Source organism: Homo sapiens, chromosome 10 (genome assembly GCF_000001405.40).
Source record: "Homo sapiens chromosome 10, GRCh38.p14 Primary Assembly".
NCBI lineage: Eukaryota > Metazoa > Chordata > Mammalia > Primates > Hominidae > Homo > Homo sapiens.
The window spans coordinates 47,268,823-47,281,295 of record NC_000010.11 but is presented as its reverse complement, the minus strand read 5'-3'; the positions used below and the strand labels follow the sequence as shown (position 1 = coordinate 47,281,295).

Below are 12,473 nucleotides of genomic sequence, written 5' to 3'. Positions count from 1 at the left end.
AATTACATAAAGGGTATAGTATACACTATTTGGGTGATGGTTATAGTAAAAGCCCCGACTATGCAATTTATCCATGTAACAAAACTGGATTTGTACCTTCTAAATCTGTATTAAAACATATTTTAGGCAGGGCACGGTGGCTCACGCTGTAATCCCAGCACTTTGGGAGGCTGAGGCGGGTGGATCACGAAGTCAGGAGATTGAGACCATCCTGGCTAACACGGTGAAACTCCATCTCCACTAAAAGTACAAAAACTTAGCCGGGCGTGGTGGCGGGCACCTGTGGTCCCAGCTACTCAGGAGGCTGAGGCAGGAGAATTTTGTGAACCTGGGAGGTGGAGCTTGCAGTGAGCCGAGATCATGCCACTACACTCCAGCCTGGGCGACAGAGCAAGACTCCGTTTAAAAAAAAAAAAAAAAAAACCCAAAAAACAAACAAATAAAAAACACATATTTTAACTGACTGTATATTTCTTTCTTTTTTTTTTTTTTTTTTTTTTTTGAGACAGAGTCTTGCTCTGTTGCCCAGGCTGGAGTGCAGTGGTGCAATCTCAGTTCACTGCAAACCTCCACCTCCTGGGTTCAAGGAATGCTCGTGCTTCAGCCTCCCAATTTGCTGGGACTACAGAGGTGTGCACCACCACTCCCGCTAACTTTTTTTTTTATTTTTAATTTTTAGTAGAGACAAAGTTTCACCATGTTGGCCAACCTGGTCTCAAACTCCTAGCCTCAAGTGATCTGCCCGTCTCAGCCTCCCAAAGTGCTGGCACTACAGGCATGAGCCACTACGTTCAGCCAATTGACTGTGTATTTCATTGGTTAGCTTTGCCATGGTTCAGTTAACCAATCTTCCCTTGCTGTTTATTCCAGTTTTTCCATATTATAAACAATAACAAAAAGAACATTTTTGTGCCTAAATACCTTTTTTTTCCATATTTATAATTATTTTGGCTTTGGCAAATAATTTGCTAAATACTACCAAAGAACAGATTTGCAGAAGTGAAATTATTTGCTCAAAGAATACAAATATTTGCAGAGCTTTTGTATATATTTAAAACTGCTATCCCCAAAATAGTGATATTACTAAGCTTATTTTTTATGTATCAAATTTTACACTTTTACAAAAGCAAGTCTAATTCTTCTTCATGTCATTGATAATTCTAAGCCTTGTGACATCTCTCTTCCTAGATTAAATATTCAGTTATAGTTTCTTCCTGCATCGCTTATGTTACTGCATGTAATTGTTATTATTGTTTGTTGTTACAGCTACCTGTTTGGTCTGGGTGGGATTTCTTTTGGCCCACCCTGTGAGGCACATGGGCTCGAATGGCTGGCTTATGACTCATCTGGGGCATGAAAATTAAGAATAACCTGGGCTCCTCAGCCATGCTCCTGCTCTGAACCCATCAGCTTCTATGCATTCTTTCTGATGGCTGGAAGGGCTTCTCTTTGGGGTGTTTGGGGTGTTAGGAAGTGTGAGATGCTGTGAGGCTCCACGGAATGGGTGGACGGGTGGCCTCTACATGGTGTGGCAGAGGAAGCCTCCCCCCAGGTGGCCCTGCTGTCATCTCTGCGCCCCAGAACCCTGGCCTAACCCCAGGACTCCACAAGGCCTGCTGAGCAGCCAGGCTGTTCCCCCATCTTGAGTAGCCACTCTGTCAGGTCATGCCTGGCGGGAATGATGAACTTTGTGTCAACTGCTGATTACAGAAGGCTGGGGCAGGTGCTGGAATGCCTCTTGGGTGAAGCTAGGGAGGTGCTGGCCCTGCCTCCCCAAGCCAGGCTCACAGGCCTTTTGGAGTCCTGATTTTGGACTCCCACAGCACCCCGTGGGACCTGGAGATTTTTTTCTCTTCAACATCCATGTGAAGATGCTTCCTGAGGAACTTCCATGAGCTCAGCACTAGGGCAGGTAGTTCTGGGGATGCAGAAAATAAGAGCAGGGGTGTCCAAAGCTGGTTGGGGGGTGGTAGCTTCTGGGGACTGAGAGTAAGGTCAGGGCACAAGGTGAGGACAGAGGGGCAGGTGGGAAATGGCAGCGATGGCAGCGCTCTCACTGGGGGACCCTAGCTGGGCCTGAGTGGAGAGGCCCAAAAGGCTTCCTGGAGGTGGTGACTGAGCTGGGAAGGAAGCAGCACAGGCAAAGAAGGACAGGCTTTGCAGGCAGGGCTCAAAGAGATGGAAGAAGAGAGGGGAGCAGCCATGAGCTTCCCAGGAACTGCAAGTGTCTGGGTGAAGTGGGAGTTCAGGATACCCCTGGACTTGGAGGCCTTCAGACAATCACAGACAGCAGGACCATGGCAGCAGAACCCTGGGAGAGAAGGAAGAGGCAGTGGTTTCTGCTGGCTGCTGGAGCAGAGTGGTCTTGCAGGCAGCTCAGAGGCCCAGGGACTGTCATGGGCAGAGGCATAGGGATCGGTCCTTGCTGAGGCTGGGCACTGAACAAGGTGGTGCATGAGACAAAGCTTGGAGTCCGGTCATCATCCCCCTCCTCAAGCTGCCACCCTAGCTGGAGCTGGATTCAGGAAACGACAGCCCTTTTTCCTCATGGGGGAGGTACCTGGCTTTGGACAGACCTGAAGGAGGTTCTCTCCAGACCTGGAGGAGGTCCATGGAAGGCAGCAGGCAGGGAAAGTGGCTGTCCTGACTAGACAGCAAGGGGTGGAGGAGGAGCTGGCTGTGGCTGCATGACCTTGAATGACCTTTGACTCCACAAGCATAGTGTCTGTGTAACATGTGCCTTGACAGTTCATCTTGAGGTTTAAACATCATTCTTTAAATCACCCTCCATGATGCCAGGTATCCTACCCCTCAGAATGAGAGGGCAACTGGCTGGTGTTTTTTAAGCGGACCACCCGCAGCCTCACTGAGACACCTCTTATTTCCAGGAGCCAGGTGTCCAGGTCCCCGTGCAGCTGTGGTGCCATCGTGTCCTGGATCCTCGCCACCTTGGGGGCCCGTCAGCGCCTCTCTGGAGCCTACAGAGGCACCTGGCAGGCTGGCAGGCAGCTTTTATATGCCTAGTTAGGGTTTTATGGTGCAGCCGGGAGGATCTGCGTCTGACAAGGCGTGCATGTGACTGCGGCGTCTGTGTTCCTGGCCGGGCCTGCCTGAGAGCAGAGACCGGCGGGGTCACCCTGGGGACCGGGCGCCGAAGCTCAGCCACAGAACAGGGGTCCAGGCCATACTGGCTAAGCCTTGCCCCTCCTGAGATACTCATTTCCATTTGTTCATGAAAGGGCCAGGCTGAGCCAGGCCCAGGGGGTGGAGGAAGTGGGGCAGGGAGGCCTCCTGGCCTGGGGGAGCTCTGGGAGTGCCCCTCCAATCCCCCCAGGGCCAGCTCCAGGTCCTGGAAACTCAGAGGACAAGCTGCAGGACCGGCCACCCCCCTACCCCTCTCTCTGTGCAATTTGTATTCCAGTGGGCAAGGTGACAATAAACCTATAAGTAGACAAAGTAGTCACAGGATCGTTTCTGGCAGGGTGGCTCTAGGAAAGACAGGATGCAGGGCCAACTGGGAGGATGTGACAGTGGCTGGTGGTTGGGCTCACCTGGGGAGGAAAGGCCTGCTGAGACATGAGGAAGCTTAGTCACCAACCATCAAAGGGCAGGCAAGGGGACCACTTAGCAGTGAGTTTGGGGTGCTCATGGTGCAGGCTGCAGACCAGAGCCAGGGAGAGGCAGGAGGTGGCAGGGCCAGGCCTTGGTACTCTCGTCTTTGGTGAGGAATCTGCATTTCTCTTTGATTGGCACTGTTGCACTTGCAGGGCTCACAGTCATGTGAGTCAGGTAATCATTAGGGGAGGTGGGGACACAGTCGGCTGCACACAGCCTAGAGAGATCAGCTCTGCCTGGGCACTCATGGACAGGGAGTGCCTGGGACCATCCCCACTCATACCTAGTGACCTTTGTCATTCTCAGAAGTGCCCTGATCTGGATTATTAATTATGTGGTCAGCTTCACGATGGGCACCCTCACAGAGGGAGAGATAGTCCTGCCTCCTGGAAGCAGAGGATGTTCACCAGGCAGGCAGCAGGGAAGAGGATTCCAAGTCCTGGAATTAGGAAATGCATAAATGTGTTGGGAATTGCTGAAAGCTCGGTAGGGATAACTCCTGGACTGTCAGGGGAGGGATGCCAAAGAGGCAGGAGTGGGGCTTGAGAAGACTCCGTGGAGTTTGGACTCAGTCTTATAGCCTTGGGTTGTTGAGAGTCACAAGAGAGTTCAAAGTCTGAGAGGAACACAGTCAGGCTTATGTTTAGAGAGAACTCGGTGAGGACTCAGGCAGGGGAACCAGGGAAGCAAGGAGCCGAGGCAGGGGTTGAGGAAGGAGGCTGTCATAGTGTCCCAGGCAGGAAGTGTCAGGGACCTGACCTATAGCAGGATCATGGGGTTGTAGAGAAGGATGGATATGGAAAACTAATGAGGCGGGCTCAGCGAGGAGGAGCAGATGTGGGAGGGGCATCCTGGATGGGGCCCAGGTAGGGCATAGGACTCTGGGTGGAAGCCATGGAAAGCTGGAGAACCCAAGGCGAGGACAGCAGAGCTTATCTTGTGCAGTCAGAGGGTGGCAGGGATGGTTGACGCTCTCCTGCCAAGTGTCTGTACCCTTCTTCTGTATTTCCCGGCCTTCCTTGCAGTTGGTGGAGGCCACGTGGCTAGCTCTTGCCAATGAGAATGTGAGCAAAAGTCAAGTATCACTTCCTGTCCAAGGCAGTGTGTAGGGGGTGAGGTCCTCCACATTTCCCACCTCGTGAGCTCTCTAAGATGGCAGAAGAACAAAGTGGACGCTACTGGATCCCTGACTTCCCATTTGAGGAAGGCTGTCTGACTTACATAGTGAGCCTGCAAAGACAGTGAAGCTGCTGAGGCTTGGGGACTTGCCACTACTGTTCATGAGGGTCCTGTATCCTGATTGCTCACATGAAGGGCAGTGGGGCAGGAGGAGGTGACAAGGCACAAGGGAAAGCTCATCCAGAGAGAGGAAGAGGCTGGTTGCTGTCCTCACTGCCTGTCCCAGATTCACCATTCAGGGAGCCCTCCTGCTCCCTGGGGAGACTGAGGAGACACGGGGCTACAGCTGCTCTTTCCAATGCATTTGCAAGGATGAGAGCTCTTGGGTGTTCATTTCATCTCTGAACCCCTTATGGTTTAGCCTGTGGTCAACCGAGGCAAGGCCATCCTGGAGGAAGAGTCAGCAGCCAGAGGACTGTCCAGCTGCTGCCATGAGGCCACTGCTCCCCAGGATCAACCACTGCCCCTTTATTCATGCACCTAGCATCCCTGGCGAGCAATTTAGCTTCTCCCCATGGAAGACTCTAAAATGAATCAGAAGGGAACAGTACAACCTAATCCCAAGGCTCTACCAAACTCTGGACTTTTAATTATAGCACCATTCTGGGACCCATTGAATTTAGAAAACAGAGGCAAATCCTCAGCTACTAGGGCAGTTAATCCAGGCAAAGCAATGCTCTCAGCTTTTTGTATTTAGTGAAAGCCACATTGAGGTTACTGTTGTCAAAATCTAAAGCAGAGATCCAGTGACAGCTGAGGGAAAGAAAGTAAATGATGTTTATTGGGTCTGTTCGGCAAAACTTCCCTCCTATTCTTTTGTTGTTGTTTTTCCTTTCCTAGTATCTTTCTGTAGATTTTTGTCCTGGGAAATCCCACTTAAATAAAGATGTGGAGTTTAGTAAGTTCCAGTCTTCTGGGGTGCATCCATTGTCCACATTTATCTTATCCAGTGCTATTCTCCCAAGTCAAATCTTCCCCTGCAAAAGGTAATTTCCATCTTAGCAACGTTTAAGCAGGCCTGGACTCCATCTGTCGCTGTCCCACCTGGCTATGCTTTGGGAATCTTGTCTCCTCTCTGACCATCCTTAACATCCCAGTTTGAAACATTTCTTCTTGGGCTTTTCCCTCAAGGCATGGATCACCATTACACTCTGGAACTAGCCTAGCTTCCAGAATGCCTACTGAGAAGTTCAATGTCCTTTATTTCTATTTATTTCTGTGTAACCTTTCTTCTCCAGTTTTGCCCTCTGGAAGTTTTAGGATCTTCTTTTGATTCCCTGTGTTCTCAATCTTCATGCTGATGCACCCTCATGGATGTTTCTGCTATACATTGTGCTGGCCACTGTGTAGACTCTTTCTGTGTAGAAACACATGTCCTTCCAATCTAAGAAATTTTCTAATTATTCCCTTAGGTTTCTTACACTTGTCCCCCGTTTCCAATCTCTCTCTCTCTTTAAATATTTATTTAGTTGTTCAACATTTATTTTACATCCAGGGGTATATGTGAAGATTTGTTACATGGGTAAATTGTGTGTTGCTGAGGTTTGGGGTATGAATGATCCCATTATCAAGGTAGTGAGCATCATATCTGATAGGTAGTTTTCCCACCCTGCCTCCCCTTTTACTCTCCAGCTTCTTGCAGTTCCCAGAGTCTATTGTTTTAATCTTTTTGTCCATGTGTACTCAATGTTTAGCTCCCATTTATAAATGAGAACGTATGGTATTTGATTTCCTGTTCCTGTGTTAATTTGCTTAAGGTATTGGTCACCAGCTGCATCCATGTTGCTGCAGAGGAAATTATTTTTAATGGTTGCATAGTATTCCACAGTGTATAGATTGATTCCATGTCTTTGCTGTTGTGAATAGTGCTGTGATGAACATACAAGTACATGTGCTTTTTGGTAGAACAATTTATTTTCCTTTTGGTATGCACCTGGTAATGTGATTACTGGGTCAAATGGTAGTTCCGTTTTAAGTACTTTGAGAAATCTCCAAACTAATTTCCATAGTAGCTGAACTAATTTGAATCCCCACCCACAATGTATAAGCATTCCCTTTTCTCTACAACCTATCCAGTATCTGTTATTTATTGACTTTTTAGTAATAGCTATTCTGACTGGGGTGAGATGGTATCTCATTGTGGTTTTTATTTACCTTTCTCAAAACATTAAAAGTCACCTATGACAGACCCACAGCCAACATCACACTGAATGGGCAAAAGCTGGAAGCTTTGCACTTAAAAAATAGAACAGGACAAGGATGCTCATTCTCACTTCTCCTATTGAACATAGTAATGGGAGTCCTAGCCAGAGCAATCAGGGAAGAGAAAGAAATAGAAGGTATTCGAATAGGAAAATAAGACATCAAATTATCTCTCTTTGCAGATGATGTGATTCTATACCTAGAAAACCCTAACGACTCTGCCATAAGGCTCCTAGTCTGATAAATCACTTCGGTAAAGTCTCAGGAAGCAAAACCAATGTACAAACATCAGTAGTATTTCTATACACCGATAATGTTCAAATTGAGAGCCAAATGAAGAATGCAATCCTATTTACAATAGACACACACACACACACACACACACACACACACACATCCTAGGAATACATTTAACCAAGGAGGTGAAAGATCTCTATAAGGCATACTACAAAACACTGCTGGAAGAAATCATAGATGATACAAACAAATGGAAAAATATCCCATGCTCATGGATCAGAAGAATTGATATTGTTAAAATGGCTACACTGCCTGAAGCAATCTACAGATTCATTGTTATTCCTATCAAAGTACCAATATTGTTTCAAAGAATTAGAAAAAAAAACTATTCTAAAATTCATATTGAACCAAAAAAGAGACCAAATAACCAAAGCAATCCTAAGCAAAAAGAACAAAGACAGAGGCATCAAACTATCCGACTTCAAACTATATCACAAGGCTATAGTAATCAAAACAGCATGGTATTACTACAAAAGCAGACACATAAACCAATGGAATAGAATAGAGAGCCAAGAAATAAAGCTACACACCTACAACCATCTGATCTTCAACGAAGTCGATAATAACAAGCAATGGGGAAAGGACTCCCTAAGCCATGTGCAGAATAATAAAACTGAACCCCTGCCTTTCACTGTATACAAAAATTAGCTCAAAATGGGTTAAAGATGTAAATGTAAGATCCCAAACTATAAGAATCCTAGAAGAAAATCTAGGAAATACCATTCTGGACATTGCCCTTGGCAAATAATTTATAACTAAGTCCCCAGAAGAAATTGCAAAAAGGCCGGGCACGGTGGCTCACACCTGTAATCCCAGCACTTTGGGAGGCCGAGGCTGGCAGATGACCTGAGGTCAGGAGTTAGAGATCAGTCTGCCCAACATGGCAAAACCCTATCTCTACTAAAAGTACAAAAAATTAGCTGGTCGTGATGGCAGGTGCCTGTAATCCCAGCTACTAGAGAAGCTGAGGCAGGAGAATCACTTGAACCATGGAGGCAAAGGTTGCAATGAGCTGAGATGGTACCACTGCACTCCAGCCTGGGTGACAAGAGCGAAACTGCATCTAAAAAAAAAAAAAAAGAATGATAAAGAAAAAGGAAAAAAATAGAAATTGCAACAAAAACAAAAATTGACAAGTGGGACCTAATTAAACTGAACAGCTTCTGCACAGAAAAATAAACTATCAACAGAGTAAGCAGACAACCTATAGAAGGGGAGAAAATATTCACAAACAACACATCCAACAAAGGTTGAATATCCAGAATTTGTAAGGAGCTTCAACAATTCAATAAGCAAAAAACCAAGAATCTCATTTAAAAATGGGCAAACGATATGAACAGACACTTCTCAAAAGAAGACATACATGTGGTCAGCAAATATATGAAAAAATGCCGATCTTTTTTTGTTGCAGTTCTAGTTTCTGGCAAATTTTTTAAACTTTTATTTCCAAATGTCTTTGTTGTTTAAAAGATTTTAGTTATTATGTATTTTTATTTCTAATAATCCTTTTTTATTATGAGTTTAATTCTTATACCTTCTTGTTCTTTTTTAATGCAATTTTTTTTCCTCTGGCCTCTCTGAGAATCTTAATGCAAGTCTATTGGAGGTCTTCTTTTGCTTCCTGCATCACCTCTGTTTTATTTGGCATCTGTCTTTCATGCTGCAGACTCTCCTCAAATGCCTGAGGATCCTTTGCCATTCATTCAAATTGAAGAGATAGTCACTAGGAACCCAAGAATGAAACAAAACAAACAAGACAAAATCTACAAGAAGTCACAAGAAAGTTCAGTAATGTGGCTGGATATATTTCCCAAAAGCCAGAAAGCTTATAGAAATGATATCTAACTAGAAAAATAGTAGGAGATCAGATGTCACTCACAATGAGGGACCCAGGAATTATGCTAGCAAATAATAGAAATTCTTTTGTATTAGTCAGGGTTCTCCACAGGAACTGAACCAATAGGGTATATATAGATATACATAATAGATAGATTTATTATGAGAATTGGCTCACACATTTATAGAGGCCAAAAAGTCCCATGATCTGCCATCTGCAAGCTGGACACCCAGGAAAGACACTGGTGTAAATCAGGCTTGAAGTTCAGGGTGCTCATGATGTAAGTCCCAGATTGAGCCCAAAAACCGAGAACCAGGACCACCGACGTCTGAAGGCAGGAGAATATGGATGTCCCAACTCAAGCAGAGAGAATGGCTCTCCCTTCCTCTGCCTGTTTATTCTAATCAGGACCTCGAGGGATTGGACGATGCCCACCCACACTGGGAAGGGCCATCTGCTTTACTCAGTTCCTCCATTCAAATGTGGATCTTTTCTGAAATTACCCTCACAGAAACACTCAGCAATGATACTTTACCAGCTGTCTGGACACCCCTTAGCCAAGTCAAGTTAACACATCAAGTTAACCATCACAGCCTTCTTGGTGACAACACGAATGCCTCATTAAAATGTCTAAGATAAGAACTGATTCATACATGGAAAGAATTAGCATTGTATTCATTTTAGTCCTCTGAAATTTAATCTATAAATCCAATGCGATTCCAATTAAAATTCTGGAAGGTTTTGTTTAATGAACTCAACAAAATGGTTGTAAAATTATACGGAAGAATAAAAGTGTATGAATAACTAACACACTTTGAAAAAGAAGAGCATCTATTAAAAAGTCAGTAGGGTTAGATAGGAGGAATAAGGTCAAGAGATCTTACTGTACAACATGATGATTATAGTAAATAACAATGCATTGATTCTTGAAAATTGCGCAGAGTAGATTTTAAGTGTCTCATCACAAAAAGATAAGTATGTGAAGTAATGGATGTTAATTAGCTCATTTAGCCATTCCACAATGTATACATATTTCAAAGCAACATGTTGTACATCATAAATATATATAATATTTGTCAACTAAAAATAAATTTAAAATCCACTAGAACTGACAAATGAGTGTAACAAAGTTATACAATACAAGCTTAATGTAAAAAATTGTGTATCTACCAAATCAAAAAATCAGAAATTAAAATTGGAAAACAGCCCCATTTATAATAGGATAAAATGTGAAACATCTAGGGATACATCTGATAAAGAAAGACTAGGATACTGACAATTCTAGGTCATTGTTGAGAGAAATTAAAGATCTAAACAAATGGTGAGAAACACTGTATTCACAGATCAGAAGACTTAATATTAAGATGTCAATTTTCCTCAAATTGATTTACAGATTCAATGCTATGCTAATAAAAATCTAAAAGGATTTTTTCTGTAAGACTGAGAAACAATTCTAAAATTCATATGGAAATTCAAAGGACCTGGAATAACCAAAACCCTGAAAAAGAAGAACAAGTTTGGAAAAGTAACATTTACCAATTTCAAAACTTATGGAACTGCAGTAATCAAATCAGTGTAGTATTTGTGTCAAGACAGACAAATAGACTATGGAACAAAGTAAAGAGCCCAGAAATGGACTCACACATACATAGCCAACTGATTTTGAAAATGATACTAAGACAATTCAGTGAAGAAAGGATAGTATTTTGAGCAAAGGGTGATGGAGCAATTGTATATCCATATGCACAAAAAAACTTTGATTCACACCTCATTCTCATCATGTATGTAACAAAAATAAACTTAAAAGGCATCATTGACTTACAAGTAAAACCTAAAGTATAAACTTTCTAGAAAAAAATTTCTAGAAGAAAAATAGGAGACAGAAAATAAGAGATTGGGAGACAATATTTGTAAATTGTGTATCTCATAATTTGTGTTGAGAAAATATTAAAAACTCTTAAAAGTCAACAATAAAAAATATCAACCTAATTAAAAACTGGCAAAAGATCTGATCAGATGATTTACCAGTAAAGTTATAGAGATGGCAATTAGCATATTAAAAAAATGCTCAACAGAATTAGTCATTAAGGAAATGCAAATTAAAATCACAATGAGACAGCAGTCTTCCTCTATCAGAATGTCTAAAATTGAAAAAAAAATTACTGACAATATCACATGTTGGTGAGGATGTGGAGCAATAGGAACTCTCATTAGTAATTGATAGGAATGCAAAATGGTATAGACACTTTGGAAAACACTTTGGTAGTTTCTTATAAAACTCCACTTGCCTGATGACCCAGCATTCCCACACCTAGGTATTTACTCAAGTGAACTGAAAACTTCCTTCCACACAAAAACTTGCAATTGCTTGTCGTGGTGTTACTCATAATCAACAAAAGCTGGGAATAATGAAGATATCCTTCAGCAGGTAAATGGATCAACAAACTGTGGTATGCCATGCAGTGGAATAAAACTCAGAAATAAAAAGGAATAAACTACTGACTTAATAACAATAAGGATAAATTTCAAATACATGTGTCTAAGTAAAAGAAGTTAGACCCAAAAGATGCCACTGATGTGACATTCTAAAAAGAGCAAAATTACAGAATGGGAAGGATCAATAGTTGCCAGGAGCTGGGGGAGGGGAGAAGGTTTGACCACAAGAGGGCCTCAATAGAGAGTGTTTAGGGGGATGGAACGTTCTGCATGCTACTCGAGTCATAGATACTTGACTCTATGCCTTTGTCAAAGTCCGTAGAACTGTACACCACAAAGAGTGCACCTAGCATTGAGCGAAGAAGGTAAGAAACAGAATGAAATATCTCAATACCATATATGTAAATTAGAAATTCGCACATGTACAATACAATATATATTTTAAGAAATTATATTAAGTACATCATAATGACTGCTTATGGGGAGACAGGATTGTGGCTTGAGGATAAAGGGGAAACAGACTAAAACAACAGAGAACGTTGCATGGGCCAATGGTGAGAGTGTGTGCTGAGCTGAGAAGTTTCATGAATTCAAACACGTCTATTTGAAATCTAAACAAAACAAAATATAAAACTAAAATTCAGACCAAGGCACAAAAAGCTGATTGGACACTCTGAGTCCCAGGCATGTGTGTGAGTGAGGGCTGGGGCTGGTCTATTGAGAGCCTTCCCAGTAGTGTGATTAGGAGGGACCTGGTCATCCATTGAGGGACCCCAAATGTCAATTCATTTTCTCTTGGACAGCTCTGGAGCTTCCATCTCCTCTTGGGGGAGGGGCAGATGTAGCTGCCAGGCTTAAGGGAGTGGAGGAGGGAAAGGGCGGAGGATGCGAAGGCTCATCTGGAAGT

At 43.3% G+C, this 12,473-nt stretch overlaps 1 annotated feature.

The window, feature by feature from the left end:
* Positions 2,509-3,210: an enhancer, noted in NCBI's record as "H3K27ac-H3K4me1 hESC enhancer chr10:48460575-48461276 (GRCh37/hg19 assembly coordinates)". NCBI's record gives its function as "activates a minimal SCP1, AML or CMV promoter by ChIP-STARR-seq in naive H9 embryonic stem cells {active_cell/tissue: H9 hESC(naive)}" and the evidence as "EXISTENCE:reporter gene assay evidence [ECO:0000049][PMID:30033119]".